The sequence below is a fragment of the Homo sapiens genome, chromosome Y, assembly GCF_000001405.40.
Source record: "Homo sapiens chromosome Y, GRCh38.p14 Primary Assembly".
In the NCBI taxonomy this organism is placed as follows: Eukaryota; Metazoa; Chordata; class Mammalia; order Primates; family Hominidae; genus Homo; species Homo sapiens.
Genome location: NC_000024.10, coordinates 7,289,911 through 7,308,610, shown reverse-complemented (window position 1 = coordinate 7,308,610; position 18,700 = coordinate 7,289,911). Strand labels below are relative to the sequence as shown.

The 18,700-nt window shown below is 44.4% G+C and overlaps 1 pseudogene across 1 annotated transcript in view; it reads right to left on the bottom strand.

Annotated features, from left to right (window-relative positions):
* PRKY (protein kinase Y-linked (pseudogene)) overlaps window positions 1-18,700 on the bottom strand; it is a 107,576-nt pseudogene that overhangs the window by 72,937 nt on the left and 15,939 nt on the right. Inside the window, exon 2 of the transcript NR_028062.1 lies at window positions 4,506-4,674. The product of NR_028062.1 is annotated as a protein kinase Y-linked (pseudogene) (transcript). The remainder of the gene's footprint in view (window positions 1-4,505; window positions 4,675-18,700) is intronic.

Sequence of the window (18,700 nt, the reverse complement as noted above, 5' to 3'; positions counted from 1 at the left end):
AATTCATGCTTTTTGGCAACACCACCACGCAGACCTGACATACAGCTCACATTCGACTGTAACCAGCACTCGGAGGAGCCGGTGAGCTGTACAGGCAAAGGACAACCCATGAAGCATCCAAACTTTCCACTCAGAAAGCTATCATGGTGCACAGAAATTTCACTCCTTAAGAAACAAAAATAGGCCAGGCACAGTGGCTCGCATCTGTAATCTCAGCATGCTGGAAAGCCAAGGTGGGAAGATCATTTGAGCCCAGGAGTTTGAAACTGGCCTGGCAGCAAAGTGAGACCTCATTTTTATAAAAGACTTTAAAATGAGGCAGGTATGGTGGTACATACCTGTAATCTCAGTACACTGGAAGGCCAAGGCAAGTGGATGGCTTGAGGCCTAAAGTTAAAGCCCAGCCTCGGCAGTATAGCAAGACTCTGTTTATAGAAAAAACCAAAAACATTACCTTCACCAAAGAAGTTGTGAAAAATATATACTTTTTTTTTTAATTAAAAATAACTAAAAACATTAGCAGGGTGTAGTGGTGCATGCCAGTAGTCCCAGCTACTCTGGAGGCTGAGACACGAGGACAGCTTGAGCCTGGGAGATTGGAGCTGCAGTGAGCATTGATTGCTCCAATGAACTCCAGCCTGAGCCACACAGCAAGACCCTGTCTCTAAATTAAGAAATATATATATACTTTTTTATATAAAAAGATAAAAATAAACCAACTTAAATAACTTTGGATAGAATATCTAAAGTCTCTAGGGCTTTATATGAGATTTAAGAAATATAAAAGACCTTACTGATACTAAAATAGAGATACAGACCAATAGAACAGAACAGAGCCCTCAGAAATAATGCCGCATATCTACAACGATCTGATCTTTGACAAACCTGACAAAAACAAGAAGTGGGGAAACGATTCCCTATTTAGTAAATGGTGCTGGCAAAACTGGCTAGCCATATGTAGAAAGCTGAAATTGGATCCCTTCCTTACACCTTATACAAAAATTAATTCAAGATGGATTAAAGACTTAAATGTTAGACCTAAAACCATAAAACCCTAGAAGAAAACCTAGGCAATACCATTCAGGACATAGGCATGGGCAAGGACTTCATGTCTAAAACACCAAAAGCAATGGCAACAAAAGACAAAATTGACAAATGGGATCTAATTAAACTAAAAAGCTTCTGCACAGCAAAAGAAACTATCATCAGAGTGAACAGGCAACCTACAAAATGGGAGAAAATTTTTGCAACCTACCCATCTGACAAAGGGCTAATATCCAGAATCTATAATGAACTCAAACAAATTTACAAGAAAAAAACAAACAGCCCCATCAAAAAGTGGGCAAAGGATATGAACAGACACTTCTCAAAAGAAGACATTTATGCAGCCAAAAGACACATGAAAAAATGCTCATCATCACTGGCCATCAGAGAAATGCAAATCAAAACCACAATGAGATATCATCTCACGCCAGTTAGAGTGGTGATCACTGAAAAGTCAGGAAACAACAGGTGCTGGAGAGGATGTGGAGAAATAGGAACACTTTTACACTGTTGGTGGGACTATAAACTAGTTCAACCATTATGGAGGTCAGTGTGGCGATTCCTCAGGGATCTTGAACTAGAAATACCATTTGACCCAGCCATCCCATTACTGGGTATATACCCAAAGGATTATAAATCATGCTGCTATAAAGACACATGCACACGTATGTTTACTGCGGCACTATTCACAATAGCAAAGACTTGGAACCAACCCAAATGTCCAACAATGCTAGACTGGATAAAGAAAATGTGGCACATATACACCATGGAATACCATGCAGCCATAAAAAATGATGAGTTCATGTCCTTTGTAGGGACATGGATGAAGCTGGAAACCATCATTCTCAGCAAACTATCTCAAGGACAAAAAAACCAAACACCGCATGTTCTCACTCACAGGTGGGAATTGACCAATGAGAACACACGGACACAGGAAGGGGAACATCACACTCTGGGGACTGTTGTGGGCTGGGGGGAGGGGGGAGGGATAGCATTAGGAGATATACCTAATGCTAGATGACAAGTTAATGGGTGCAGCACAGCAACATGGCACATGTATACATATTTAACTAACCTGCACATTGTGCACATGTACCCTAAAACTTAAAAGTATAATTAAAAAAAAGAAGAAAAAAGAACAAAAAAAGAAATATAGAAGACTTTGTTCCTTAATTGAAAGTAGGCAGGCTTGGCACAGTGGCTTACGCCTGTAATCCTAGCACACTGCGAGGCCGAGGTGGGTGGATAATTTGAAGTCACAAGTTCAAGATCTGCCTGGCCAACACAGCAAAACCCCGTCTCTACAAAAAATACAAAAATTAGCTAGGCATGGTGACATGCACCTGGAGTCCCAGCTACTCTACTTGGGATGCTGAGGTAGGAGAATCATTTGAACTCAGGAGGCAGCAGTTGCAGTGAACCGAAATAGCGCCACTGCAGTCCAGCCAGGGTGACAGAGCGAGACTCCAACGAAAAAGAAGAAAGCAGGAACATCAAAATCAGAATCCATGTCCCTGCAGGAATCCACCTTATCTGCTAAGGAAAACAGCTGTTGAACTATCCTGGCTTGAAGAAAGGAGAATTATCTAACTAAAGCTCTGTTTTGCAAGCTCCTCTTTATTTTTTAACTTGTGGGAGCTCAAGAATTCTATCCTAAGGAATTCTCTCACTTGCACACTCCACCCACTCCCATGTCTATGCGATTCTTCTGCGGGATTTTAGATTTTAAAATACCCGTAAGCCCATCCTCTACGCTGCTCTCCTGCACATGCCACCATGCCCAGCTAATTTTTGTATTTTTAGTACAGACAGGGTTTTGCCATGTTGGCCAGGCTGGTCTCTAACTCCTGACCTCACGTGATCCACCTGCCTTGGCCTCCCAAAGTGCTGGGATTACGGGTATGAGCCACTGCGCCCATCCTCTGCATATGATTTTGTTCAGAACTCAGGCCATGTTGGGTCTAGAAAAGGCAGGTGCACTTGTTCCAATACATACGAGGTGCTTCAAGAACATGATGGGAGGCATCCTGTGTCCTGGGGACTACAGGTGAATGAGGGAAAACAAGTGTGTGTTTCTCAGGTGGGGGAAGTGAAGGACAATGATAAAGGCAAAGAAGGAGGCCTGTCAAGGAGGAGTGGCCTAGGAGAAGACCCGTAGTGAGCGTGTAAACAGCACCTTCTACCTTCTACTACAGGGAGGTGCTGGCAGGAAGCCAGTCTGTGAGGATATTGATAGGAAGATGCTGCATCCTGGGGCTTTATATGGGATACTTCAGGAGCTTCCTGAGGATGACTGGAGAGAGACTGGTCATTGCAGAGGTACTTGGGGAGGATCAATGAGGCTATAAGGTGAAGGATGTCTTCAAGGGGAGCAAGGGTGGGAGGGAAAGACCAGATAGGAGGAAGTACAGTGCAGAAAATCACGGTAGAGAGATGGGACCTAGATAAAGCAGAAGATGGGAGGTGGACAAGAGAGGCGTAGTAGCAAGATGGTGGCGAGAGGACATGGGAATTGGATAAAAGGCACCCATAGAGGGAAAAGAGAGACACGAAGGACATCCTCATCTAAGGCACCTGGGTGGAAATGGAATTACCCTGCTGGAATGGCCTGAATTTCTTGTGTCCTCCCAAATCCCTATGTTGGATCCTCACCCACAGGTGATGGTGTTAGGTGGTGTGTCCTTTGGGAGGTCATGAGGGTGGAGTCTCATGAATGGGACGAGTGCCCTTATAAAAGGGACCCCAGAGAGATCCCTCACCCCTTCCACCATGTGAGGACACAGTGAAAAGGTGCCATCTATGAACCAGGAAGCGGGTCCTCGCCAGATACTGAATCCACCGTGTCTTGATCTTGGACTTTCCAGCCTCCAGAACCATGAGGCAAATGTCTGTCATTTGTAAATTACCGAGTCTAAGATCCTTTGTTATAGCAGCCTGAATGGACTAACACACTTACCCTAGGACATAAGACTGCTGTGTACCATCAGCTGGAAGTGTGTGGGCTGCATCTAAACGGGGTATCTCTCATCCACAGTCAACCAGAAACCCAACGAAACCTGAAGCCCAGCCCCGTCCACGTGACTGTGGTCCCTTAAAAACCAACTTAACCAGTTCTGCCGAGAGCTATAGATGCAGAACCCAAGGAGGTGAGGAGACAAAGATTCCTGCATCCTTTTCCGGGCAGAGATACTTCGCTCACCCAGGAGAGGAGCAAGGGGCCTTGGGCACGGACTTCTGAACACAGAGCATTTCTTTTTGGACCTGGTCAGCCATGGAGGTCAGGAGCCCTGGAGGTATTCCAGCTCTAAGATCAGAGGCTGATAAGACCTGACAGGTGGAGACTGCTGTGGCCTAAGGCTTTGCACGCAGGCCATGGTCTCGGCCCACCCAGCTTCTTATAAGAAGAGACACACAGGGGTCTAGGGAGAGTGCGTCGGGAGAGGCCTCAGGAGGGGACTCACAGCCTGATGAGGAACGGGTGGCTGACTTCCTTCAGGACAGACTTCTCATTGTGCACGTGCTGCTCCTGCTTCCGGCGGATGACGTCGGGAATGCTCATCACCTTGAGGGCGAAGAAATGCTTGGCTGTCTTCTCCTTCACCAGGTGCACCCGCCCGAACGTCCCAGTGCCTGGAGAGAGAAGAAATCGACAGAGGTCATTAAGTCTCCTGACAAAGGGAAAAACCACCGCAGCCATGCAATCAGTGGGGGGCTGCACCAGGACAGCAAACACAGACCCCAAGTGAAACTTTCAGAGACTTTGTGTCATGGTGCACGTGGGCTGATGGCATTTAGTGAGAGGCGATCACCTGGAATTTTCCACTGAATACAGAAATTGCAGAGAGAGAAAGAGCGAGAGAGAAGGAGACAGAGAGAGCCATCTGCTTCTTCAATTTGGGGACAAACTGGCCATAATTTCTGCAGATCAGTCTTTGCAGAGAGCACACCCACATATGCCCCACAGGCCCAGATATAGAAGCATTAGAGTAACAGTAAATGTATTTATGTAACATGTCTTTTTCTCTTCAGGCTCTCTGGTTTTATCAGTAATCCAGACAGGGTATAAAACAGGCAGACCTCCTCAACACTGCTCTCTTCTTAAGACACACTAACTTGCTCAAAGCATGGAGTCCATATTCTACAATCTGCCGTGGATTGCGATGAAGTGCTATAGGTACCCACAAACAGAAAGAAAGACAACTGCAACCACTACAAATACAAAAGAAAACCAACAGCTCTACTGTATTCTGCTGGGACATTTTCAATCCAAACACTTTCTTCTCTTCCTTCCCCTCCTCCTCCATCTCTGCCTTCTCTTTTTTCTCTTCCTCAATCTTCTCCTCCTTCTCTTTCACCTCCTCCTCCTCCTCTATTTCCTTTTATTTTCCACTTCCTCCTCCTCCATCTCCTCCTCTTCTCCCTCCTCTTCCTCCCACTGGGGTGCATCTAAATGAAGAAATCTAACAGTCAATGAGATATAAAAGAAAATCAAAATCTCTATAGTATCTTGGGAGCACTTTTTCAATGTAAACACGCTTTGCTTGTTTCTCCTTCTTTCTCCTCCTCTTCTTCTCTTCATCCTCCTCCTCTTCCTGTAACACATTGATCCTATAAGGTATGCATGTGTTCACATGCATATTGAAATATTCTTCACGTAGCATAAATGTTCTTCAGTTACTGGAATGAATGACTTTACTCTGTCGCCCAAGCTGGAGTACAGTGACACCATCACAGCTCACTGCAGCCTCTGCCTCCTGGGCTCAAGCAATCTTCCCGCCTCAGCCTACCTGGTTAATTTTTGTACTTTTTGTAGAGAAGAGGTTATACTACATTGCTCAGGCTAGGCTTGAACTCCTAGGCTCAAGCGATCCTCCTGCTTCAGCCTCCCAAAGTGCTGGGACTACAGGCATGAGCCACTGCAACTGATGCAGGATTTCTAGAGTATCCCTAAATTGTCTTTGATCTACCTTGATCCCAGAGTCAGCAGCCCCTTACTGACATGCAAGTCAATTCTCAGCAATATTTTTAGACAACCCATTCACAGCTGCAGACAGAGATGAGTAACTAAAACAAAACTGCCCTCCCGTATTATGTGATCACACCCACCCCAAACAGCAGAGGAGGCTTCTCAGAAACTGACTTTCAGAGAAAGGATGGTTTGGAAGTTTATCCTTCTGAGGAACCAACATCTGTTGACGAGCAAACTCACTAATCAATATTGATCCATTTACCTATCCATTCATTGGCTGATACTCCTGTGCCTGCTTTATGCTAGATTGCAAAACCCAAGAGAACTAGGATCTTCCAGACACCTGCACTCCCATGTTTATGGCAGCACTAATCACAACAGCCAAGACGTGGAAACAACCTCAGTGTCCGTCCAAGGGCAAATGGATAAAGAAAACATGGTACATATATACGATGGAATACCATTCAGCCCTAAAAAAAGAAGGAAACTCTGGCATTTGCAGCAACATGGATGGAACTGGAGGCCATTATGTTCAGTGAAATAAGATAGGCACAGAAAAACAAATATTAAATATTGCATGATCTCACTTATACAAGGAATCTGACATGGCTTGGCTGTGTCCCCACCCAAGTCTAATCTTAAAGTGTGGCTCCCATAATCCCCACGTGTTGTGGGAGAGACCAGGTGGGAGGTAACTGAATCATGGGGGTGGGTTTTCCCATGTTGTCCTCCTGATAGTGAATAAGTCTCACGAGATCAGATGTTTTAATAAATGGGAGTTTCCCTGCTCACGCTCTCTTCTTGCCTGCTGCCATGTAAGACGTGACTTTGCTCCTCCTTTTACCTTCTGCCATGACTGTCAGAACCTCTGCAGCCATGTGGAACTGTGAGTCCATTAAACCTCTTTCCTTTATAAATTAACCAGTCTCAGGTATGTCTTTATTAGCAGCATGAGAATGGACTAACGCAGAATCTAAAATAGTCAAACTCATAGAAGTAGAGAGTAGAGAGACAGTTATCAGAAGATAGGCCTTGATAGGGAAGGGGAAATATATTGATTAAAGGATGAGCAACATACATAAACCACGGAGATTGACCATACACCCAGTTCCTACAGTTAACAATACTGAATTGACATGTGAAATTTCATATATAAAAATCTCACATATACAATAGTGAAATTGTATACATGAAAATTTGCTTAGAGGGTGGATCACGTTATGTTGTTTCGTCTATTTTTTTGAGACAGGGTCTCTCTCTGTTGCCCAGGCTGGAGTGCAGTGGTGCAATCATAGCTCACTGCAGCCTTGACCTACCAGGCTCAAGCAATCCTCCCACGTCAGCCCAAGCATTTGGGACTATGGGCTGTGCACCACCAAGGACAGATAATTTTTAAAATTGTGACTGGGAATTTTTTATTGGTTTGAGAAGAAAAAAAAGAACACAACCATACAATGGATTTCCTTCCAAGAGTCTGGAATGCCATTGATTGCACATTGTAACATGAAAAGAATTTTTTAAAGTATTTGCTGTAAACTAAAATCCCCGTGTTGTAAAATATATAAGCTAATGAATGATGAATTTACTAGCTTATAGGGCAACTGGGAAAGGCGGAGAAGCAACCTTTGCTTTTTAAGTAAAGTTTCCAATAACGAATATTTTATTATGGCAGAAATAGAAAGTAAACTCCAAAATAAAGAGAAAGTGTAAGAAGTAAACAATGTCAATAGCTGACAAGTGTTCAATTTTTTAAAAAAAGTAAACAAATAATGAAAATAGTAAATTTTTAAAGTATATTCTCTTGGTTAATTTGGAAATAAAATAGGTTTTATTACTAACAGTGTAACATCCTGTGGACAAAATTAGGTGTAATCAGGTCAAAGACAGGAAGTGGAAGAAGGGCTTTCAGGACTGTGAATTAATAAAATTTAGGTGTTTTTAACTACAGCCACTGATGTTTCAACCGGATAAAACACAATTAGGAATCAGGAACACTGGCATCCAACCCAAGCTTATCCTGCCATTGGACCTATGAAATGGGCAACAGAGCAGCCTTTTAGTCTCCTGTTGCTCTTCTTTCCAACAGAACTTGCATATTATTAGGAAACATTAAATTCTTGCCACACCCTAAAATTCTAATAATGCAATAAATATGGTCCTTGACTTTTCTTCCTCTGTCTGCTTCCTTCCTCCTTATTTATCTTTCTCTATCACCCACTCCAAGAAAACCATTTATTACTTGGCTGTGTTTACCGCATAACATTCTGTCTTCTTAGCACTTGTATTTGACCCTCAATGGAGATAATTCTCCATGCCTACTTTAAGAACAACAGCTATGACTCCACAGATTTTTTACACTTCTGTGACTAAAGCCTTCTCTGAGCTGTGTGAGTTATAAACACACAAAACTCAAAACACGTTATTTATGCACTGCAGCAGATCTTTGTGCTACCCTGGGGTAGATGTGGCCAGTCCCACCAATGCCACAATCAGATTGCAGAAGTATGTCGGTAAACAACCTTATTCAAAGCAGACAGAAGTGGCATGCTGTAATGTTTAAAGTTTATCAGCTTAAGTGCACAGAAGACAAAGGCAACATTTAATGGTGCTGGTAGATTTTCCTGAGGCTCTCCAGTACACATTTGCCAGATAACCATTATCCCACTTGAGTAGAAAATGCCTATTTGTAGCCTTCTCTGCAGCTAAGGGTGGCCATCTGACCCAGCTTTGCCCAATAAGACATAAAAAAAGAGTATTTTCAAGTGTTTCTAGGCAGGTCAGATATTTCCTTCCTGATAAAGAGAGATCTTGAAGGTAAGTGGTCCATTCCCCACCCTAGAGATCCCCTCCATCTCTCTCCAAGCTAAGTAGTAGTGTTACGCACGAGGGAAATCTGATGTGCAGTTTATGTCTTTTCTTTTAATTTTAGTGAGACCGCGTCTGTAGTAAAAATACAAAAATAATTAGCCAGGCGTGGTGGCAGGTACCTGTAATCCCAGCTACTCCAGAGTCTGAGGCATGAGAATCTCTTGAACCTGGCAGGCGGAGGTGGCAGAGCTGAGACTGCACCATTGCACTGCAGCCTGGGCAACAGAAGGAGATTTTGTCTCATAAATAAATAAATAAATAAATACATAAATAAAATCTCTCGGTTCAGAAATCTAAAGAAAAATTAAATTTTAAAATGTACAAAGTGGGGTATGAGAAAGCGCAAAAAACATGTTTCTCACTGTGAAAAGAGATGGGCTTTTCCTCTCTTCCTCAAGCCCAGCAAACCCTAAATCCCTCTTGCCTGTGACTTTGGAGGGAAGGAACGTGGCGGCCAGCAGAAACAGAGGGAAGACAGCAGGCCATTCATACTAAAGAAGTGTCCAGAAAGAGGAGAAACAAGGATTTAAGTTTCTTTGGTTATATTTTTAAATTTTGCTAGAACTCAAAACACTTTAGGAGATCTGTATGGAATAAACACAGGGACCGTGACATGGAATTTCACGCGGTCACAAAACGGAAAAGAAACCAACCAACCCTGAGTACTTTCCCTTGGGGTCCATGGGTATATGGGATGGGGTGAGGAAGGTGACGGGAGAAGGACCGTGTCTCACTGCAGCACATTCCCGGGAGTAGATTCACGGATGATCTCAGACACCAACAGCTGACACCATCTGAGCCCAGTTCTTCCTCTGTGCTGCAAGAGCAACACCGCACAGCTAGCTCGGCCTTTCACAGGTCACCTAAACACAGCCAATCTCCCCTCTCCCTACTTTGTGTGCGTTGAATGGGGTGCCCTGGAAAAGATACGTTGACATCCTAATCCTTGGTACCTGTGAATGGGACCTTAGTTGCAAACAGGGTCTTTGCAGATGTGATTAAGATATACACAAAGGCTGGGCACAGTGGCTCACCCCTGTAATCCCAGCACAGGCATTCGAGACCAGTCTGGGAAAGACAGCAAGACCCCGTCTCCACTTTTTAAAAAAATGAAATTTAAAAAAAAAAAATATATATATATATATATATATATATATATATATATATATGGTAAGGTCATCCTGGAGGCAGTCCAATATGAGTGGTGAAACTAATAAGGAGACACAGACACAGAGGAGAAGGCCACCTGGAGAAAGACACAGAGAGTAGAGTGATGCGGCCACAAGCCCAGGGACACTTGGAGCCCCCAGGAGCTGGGAGAGGCAGGAAGGAGCTTCCCCTGGAGCCTCCAGAAACAACTGGATACAACTGTAGTGGACTGAACTATGGTCTCCCAGAAAGATATGTCCATGTCCTGACCCACAGAACCTGTAAATGAGACCTCATTTGGGAAAAGGGTCTTTGCAGATGTAATTAAGTTAAAGATCTCAAGGTGAGGTCATCCAAAATTGGAGTGGACCCTAAACACAATGACGGGTGTTCCTGTAAGAGAAGAAGAGAAGACACAGGCACAGAGGAGAAGGCCACGTGGAGACGGAGGCAGAGACCGCAGTGATGCGGCCACAAGCTCAGGGACGCCTGGAGCCCCCAGGAGCTGGGAGAGGCAGGAAGGAGCCTCCCCTAGAGCCCGCAGAGGGAGCACAGCCCTGCTGCATCTGCACTTCAGAGTTGTGGTCTCCAGGACTGTGAAACAATTAACTTCTGTTATTTTAAGGCACCCAGTCTGTGGTATGTTACCAAAGCAAATATGCCCAAGGGGTACAAATTCAACCAAATAGTTCCAAATTTAGCCAAGTACATTCCCTAGCAATGCTGCGAGCTCACGGTCAAAGGTATAACTCCACCATCTCTGAGAACCTGAGAGAGGCTTCCAGGGTGGTCTGAACTGTGCAGACCTCAGCAAACAGCAACATCCCAGGAAAGAGTGGGGCTAAGGAGCTACTAATCCCTATTCCTACAAAGGCAGCCTAGACATGTCTGAGCCTTCCCAGGCCGATCACTAAGGAATGTCCACAACACACAGCTGCCCCAAACATGGGAGAAGACAGAAGTCTTCAAAGGAGCCGAGATGAAAAACCAAGTTCAAATTGTAAACTAGGCTGGGCAGGGTGGCTCACGCTTATAAGTCCAGCACTTTGGGAGGCCAAGATGGTGGGATCACTTGAGGCCGGGAGTTCAAGACTTGCCTGGGCAACATAGCGAGATCCCAGCTACAAAAATAAAAACAAAAAATTACCCAGGTGTGGTGGTGCACAGCCGTCGTCCCAACTACTTGGGAGGCTGAGATGGGAGGATTGCCTGAGCCTGGGAGGTCGAGGCTGCAGTGAGCTAAGATCACACCACTGCACTCCAGCCTGGGCAACAGAGCAAGACCCTGTCTCCAGAAAAAAAAAAAAAAAAAAAACCCACCAAAAACAACAACAACAAAAAACAAACAGGAGACTAATGGCTGATATTTTAGTCATCTGTATGTAAATCCCTTCATAATCTCTGCTGATGTAAGAAACACATTTTCATCCAAAAAAAATAAGGTAGTTAAGCAAGAATTTGTTAGGATTGGTCACAGGGAGAGACTACTTTCTGTGTCTCAATCTTTCCCCCTATCAAGTGTTGGTTATTTCTTTTAATCAGTACAAATATTCTGAGGTGCATAAAGATCTGACTTAAGCTGTCGTCTAATTCAGCTTCTGCAGTATTTGCTAGTCTACTGAAAAAAAAATCTAGTGGCTAATAGTAAATGTAAAAAAGAACCTACGAACTATGCTCTGACCTCAATTCATCCTGGAAAGCATTACAGGGCCCTAATTCTGGCAGACTTCTATCTAAATAAAGTATTTTGCTCAGACTACCATAATAACACCACACAGACGAGGGGACTTAAAGAGAACTTTCTTCTCCCACAGGCCTGGAGGATGGAAGTCAGACATCAAGGTGTGGGCAGGGCTGGTTCCCCCTGAGACCTCTCTCATGGCTTGGAGATGCCATCTTCCTGTGTCCTCACCAGGCCATCCTCTGTGTGTGTCTGTGTTCTCGTTTCTGTTTTTATTTATTTATTTTTATTTTTATTATGTGAGATGGAGTCCTCTCTTTGGCTCAGACTGGAGTATAGTGGCACAATCACAGCTCACTGCAACCGCCACTTCCTGGGTTCAAGCAATCCTCTGGCCTCAGACTCCCAAGTAGCTAGGATTACAAGCATGCACCACCACAGCCAGCTAATTTTTTTTTTTTTTTTTTTTTTTTGAGACAAGAGTTTCACTCTGTCACCCAGGCTGGAGTGCAGTGGCACCATCTTGGCTCACTGCAATTTCTGCCTCCCCAGCTGAAGCAATTTTCTCCCTTACCCTCCCAAGTAGCTGGGATTACAGGTGCCCACCACCGCATCTGGGTAATTTTTTTGTATTTTTAGTAGAGACGGGGTTTCACCGTCTTGGCCACGCTGGTCTTGAACTCCTGGCCTCCTGATCCACCCTCCTTGGCCTCCCAAAATGCTGGGATTACAGGCACGAGCCACCATGCCCGGCCTGTTTTTTGTTCTGTTTTTCATTTTCCCTAAACCTCTTGTGTCAGTCTCCTGAGTAGCTGGGACTACAGGTACAAGCCACCACACTCAGCTAATTTTATTTATTTTTTATAGCGACAGGGTCTTGCTGTGTTGCCCAGGGCAGTCTTCAACCCCTGGCCTCAAGCAATCCTCGTGCCTCAGCCTCTCAAAGTGCTGGGATGACAGGCATGAGCCACAATGCCTGTCCTAAAACAATTCTTACACACTTTTCATCTTGGGTCCTTCCTGGGAATAAACTCACCTGAACAGGGGACCTGTTCCTTCGCCCTTCCCTCCTTTCATCGGTTTCCTTCCTACTTTCCTCTCATTCCTTCTTTCCATCCTTCCTGTCTGCTTCTTTCCTTCCTTTTCTTTCCTTCCTACTTTTTCCCTTCCTTCCCTCTCCTTTCCTTCCTTTCTCCCTACTTTCTTCCTTCCTTCCTTCTCTCTTGCTCTCCTTCCTACTTTTTTCCTTCCGCAGCCATCTCACTATTAAGCCTCATTCTAGAGGTGTCATCCCATCAAGATTAAAAGCTGTGTGACTGTGACAAGCCCTCTAACCTCTCTAAAATTCATCTACCAAATAGGGATCACAATATTTACCCCCACTGGGTTTAAGTGAAATAACACACAGAAAGCATATCACACAGAATAATAAACGTAGTAAATGAATGCATCTGTAAGCGTGAAAACATTCAAACATCGGCTTCCCAAATGTCCCATGTGGCAGTGGTTACCCAGCCCTATCCATTTAGCAAGGACTTCTCCCAGTGTGGGTGATTGTGTTGTATGTACATCTGAATAACACTGACCCACCTCCCCAAGATAGGCTAAGAGGAACTTAAAAAAAAAAAGAAAAAGTAAGCAAAACCAGGCTCGGTGGCACATGTCTGTAATCCTAGCACTTTGGGAGGCCAAGGCAGGTGGATCACTGGAGCCCAGGCATTCAAGACCAGCCCAGGCAACATGGCGAAACCCTGTCTCTACAAAAAATTTAAAAATTAGCTGGGCATGGTGGTGCACATCTGTGGTCCCAGTTACGCAGGAGGCTGAGCAGGGAGGATCTCTTGAGCCCAGGAGGTAGAGGCTGCAATAAGTGCCATGACTGCACCACTGCACTCCAGCCTGGGAGACAGAGCAAGACCCCCTCTCAACAACAACAACAAAAAGTAAGCTTCATAGAAACAGAGCTGGTGTGTGTTTCTTCTTATTCTGCGTGGCACTGAATATAGACATTCATGAGGACCTGTGGGCTGAACAGCACAGCTCACCTTCCAGAATCAAGGATCTCACACCAGTAAGTGGGGGCTGAGAGCAAAATCTCCTGCCACAGAGCAATGGACAAGAAGAGGAGTTTGCACTCCCAACTCAGCTCCTTTATTCCAAAAGTCTGATATGTCCAAAACATAAGTCTTAAGATGTCCATTGAAGACACATAGGCAGGTCTGGGTCTCTACTTATGATCCAGAAAGAAAGTGAATGTTTTCTTCTTTTGGTTTTTGTTTTTTTTTTAAGATGGGGTCTCACTCTGTTGCCCAGGCTGGTCTTGAACTCCTGGCTTTAGGCAATCCTCCCACCTCAATGCCCCAAAGTGCTAAGATTGCAAGTGTGAGCCACTACACCTGGCACTGAATATACTTACTTTGTTTGTTTTAAATCTATTATTTGTTAATTATGGTAAGCTATGCACAACATAAAATTTACCATCTTAACAATTTTTAAGTGTACAGATTAGTGGTGTTAAATACATTCATAATGTCATCCATTCCCACCAACACCACCAACCATCTCCATTTGGACTTACTTTTATTTATTTATTTTTAATTAATTAATTAATTAATTTTTTTAGAGACAGGTCTTACTCTGTCCCACAGGCTAGAGCACAGTGATGCAATCTCAGCTTACTGCAGCATAAACTGCTGGGCTCAACCCATCAGCCCGCCTCAGCCTCCCAAGCAGCTGATGCTACAGGCATGCAACACCATGTTTGGCTAATTTTGTTTTTGAGATCTCTTTGTTGCCCAGGATGGTCTCAAATTCCTGGGCTCAAGTGATCCTCCCACCTCAGCCTCCCAAAGTGCTGAGATTACAGGCGTGAGCGATTGCGCCCAGACTTAACTTACTTTTAATTGGAAAAGTCATATACAGGTCCCTAGTAAGCATATTAACTCAGCCAGTAATAAGGTAACATAATGAGAAATTATGTGGTGGGTCAGCAAATGGCTGATGTCAAAGTAACTTGGATAACAAAAAAATCACCATTTTTTTAAAGATGTTTTGAGGATTATACACTTAAAAAGTAAGTTCCTTAATAAATTGTAAATGTCAGTCAACTATAAGAATTCCTAAGCCTCAGCCGGGCACAGTGGCTCACACCTGTAATCCCAGCACTTTGGGAGGCTGAGGCAGGGGAATCACGAGGTCAGGAGATCGAGATCATCCTGGCTAAAATGGCAAAACCCCGTCTCTACTAAAAATCCAAAAAAATAGCCAGATGTGGTGGCGGGTGCCTGTAGTCCCAGCTACTCAGGAGGCTGAGGCAGAAGAAAGGCATGAACCCGGGAGGCAGAGCTTGCAGTGAGCCAAGACTGCGCCACTGCGTACTCTCCAGCCTGGGCAACAGACCAAGACTCCGTCTCAAAAAAAAAAAAAACAAAAACAAAATTCTGCATTTCTTTCCTTAAACTGAGGTGCTTAAAGAACCTTGAACATGGGCATTCCAGGTGCTAACAAAACAGGATGCACCAATTCAATGGGAGAGAGAAGGTGAGGATGGATGAGCCCCAATTCTCCCTAAAATGCAAGAGAAAAAAACCCAAACATTCAATGTTGAGACATCATGGACAGAAATCTTTGCAAGAAGACAGCGTCGCAGTGGCCCTGCAGAGACATCAAGAAGGACAGCATTGTGTTCCTCACAGGCACTCCAAGAGAGGTGGCCATGTGGAAAATGCACTTCAAAAAATGTAAAACCGGCCAGGTGCACTGACTCACGCTTGCAATCCCAACACTTTGGGAGGCCAAGAGGGGTGGATCACCTGAGGTCGGGAGTTAGAAACAAGCCTGACCAACATGGAGAAACCCCATTTCTACTAAAAATACAAAATTAGTCGGGTATGGTGGTGCATGCCTGTAATCCCAGCTACTCAGGAGGCCAAGGCAGGAGAATCGCTTGAACCCGGGAGGCACAGGTTGCAGTGAGCCAAGATCACACTACTGCACTTCAGCCTGGGCAACAAAAGCAAAATTCCGTCTCAAAAAAAAAAAAAAAAGTTACAACCCAGCTGGGTGCCCTGGCTCACACCTGCAGTCTCAGCACTTTGGGAGGCCGAGGCGGGAGGATCATTTGAGGCCAGGAGTTTGAGACCAGCCCAGCCAACATGGTGTAACCCCGTCTCTATGAAAAATACAACAATTAGCTGCACATGGTGCCAGGCACCTGTAATCCCAGCTACTGAGGAGGCTGAGGTGGGAGAATTGCTTAAAGCTAGGAGATGGAGACTGCAATAGGCCAAGATTGCACCACTGCATTCCAGCCTGGGCAACACAGTGAGACTCTGCCTCCAAAAAAAAAAAAAAAGGTAACTCAAGAAGTGGGCACAGCCCCCATCCATCTTGTCTACAGCCTGGGAGGCCAGTACATGCCACATTAGCTTGGGAGGGAACATGCTCTTGTACCACACCTACAGATGGGTGGAGACTGGGAGCAGTGGCTCATGCCTGTAATCCCAGCACTTTAGAAGGCTAAGGCAGAAGAATCACTTGAGCCCAGGAGGTCAAGACTAGGTTGGGCAACATAGCCAGACATCATCTGCACAAAAAAAATTTTTAAATGAGCAGGGTGTGGTGGTATGCATCTGTAGTCCCAGCTACTCATGAGGCAGAGATGGGAGAACTGCTTGAGCCCGGGAGTTGGAGGCTGCAGTGAGTTATGATAGTACCACTGCACTCCAGCCTGGACAACAGGGAACCCCACCTGTTTAAAAAAAAAAAAAAGTGAGGCCCTTCTCCATAAGTGATACTTGCTTCCATATGTAGAAAGGGCTTTGGAGAAATATACAAGACACATTAATATGGTCACCTGGGTGGGAGGAGAGGGCAAATTCTGCACAGGTGAGGCACAAAAACAGAGATGCATTTCACTATATAACTTTCTCACCTTTTAAAATGTGACTATCAAAATATTTCATCTACATAGGTTTATGTTAAATGAAACCGATGCACTGCATTAAATAATTGTTTCAAAGTAATGTTGACAGCAGAATGTATGAATTTAAAACTGTCAAACTCAGTTCCTTTCCTTGACATTTTCCACCCTGCGAAAAATCAGTAAAAGAACATTAAATACTATAATGTATGAAATAAGGGCGTGAAACATATGGAGATGGAGGGTTAATGGCCTGTTTATAAGGTGCTTGGGCAGAGAATGGGCTCAACTGGGCTGCAAGAGGGAGGGTGGAGATGATCACAGCTTAGAACTTAGGCATATAAGCAGTGAGTGCTGATGACCTACGCAAGGTGTACAGGTGCACAGGATCTCTTAAGTTGTTCTGTTTGGGGAAAGAAGGAGACACAGTTCATGTTGAACGCAGTGGACGTACTGAGGTTGAGGGGTGGATTAGGTTGAATGGTGCCCCCCAAAAATATGTCCACATCCTAACCCCTGGTACCTGTGAATAGAGCCTTATTCGAAAATAGGGTCATTGTAGTTTCTATTAAGTAAACAATCTCCAGATGAGGCCATCCTGGATTTAGGGTGGGACCCAAATCCAACAACGAGTGTCCTTCTAAGAGACAAAAGAGAATGAATAAAAAATGGCCAGGCACAGTGGCTTATGCCTGTAATCCCAGCACTTTGCGAGGTCGAGCCATGTGGATCACCTGGAGGACAGGAGTTTGAGACCAGCCTGGGCAACATGGTGAAATCCTGTCTCTACTAAAAATGGAAAAAATAAGCCAGGGGTGGTGGCAGGTGCCTATAATCCCAGCTACTCAGGAGGATGAAGCAGGAGAATCACTTGAACCCAGGAGGTGGATGGTGCAGTGAGTCGAGATGACACCGCTGTACTCCAGCCTGGGCAAAAGATTGAAACGCCATCTCAAATAAATAAATAAAATAAAGACACAGAAGACGAGACAGAGACACAGAAGAGAAGGCCCCATTTGGAGACAGAGGCAGAGACTGGAGTGATGTGGCCAGGAGACCAGGGACACATTTAAGGACACGCTTCTGTCGCAGGTGGCAGCTAACCTGTTTTCTCTGCACTTATTTCTGTGGCTTTTTGGGTAAAGAGGCAACTAGGGATACTGATTACACAGAGGAGGAAGCTGGAGCTCAAACAGCACCAGCAGGGTAACAGAAATTTAAAAAACGCAGAGCTCAATCAGTTTAATAGTCAAAAGCTATGAACACATCAGACTGTGAAACACCAAAATCAGGTGGTGAAACGTGGCGCTGCCCTGAAGACCTTTGAAAGGCAGAACGGATGGGGTTTCCTAAGTTTTCCTCAGTTATGATTCTACTTCTTCTAGGACCCTCTGGCTTGTGACAGTCAAAGCACCAGCTCAGAATCTGTATCAGCATGCAATGCTTCAGGAAAATTCCAGAAACCTAAAATGAGTGGAGAAAAACAAAAGAAAAACCAGAGCAAACTGCAATGAAACTGAAAACAGGAAGTCAACACAGAAACATTAAAGAAACCCAAAGTAGTTTCTTTGCAAAGATTAGTGCAACTGATAAACCGGAATCTGTGCTCAAAATAAAATACTGAACTGTTTAACAATGAACTAAACAAAAGCCTTAACAGATAAAATCACATCCAACAACAATTTCTATTCAACTGTGTAGGGAATATTTTGAGACATTACTGACTTTTTCTATATATTATTTTCTTTTACTTTTTTCTTCTTTTTTCTTTTTCTCCTTCCTTTCTCTTTTCTTTTTTGCTTTTCTTTCTTTTCTTTCATGGTTTCACTCTGTCACCAAGGCTGGAGTGCAATGGCGCAATCATAGCTCACTTCAGCCTCAACCTCCCAGACTCAAGTGATCCTCCCACAGCAGCCTCCCAGGTTGCTGGGACTGCAGCCATGTGCCACCATGCCCGGCTAATTGTTATTTGTTTATTTTTTTTTTGTAAAGATAGGGTTTCACCATGTTGCCAAGGCTAGTCTCGAACCCCTGGTCTCAAGCCCTCCTCCCACCTCGACCTCCCAAA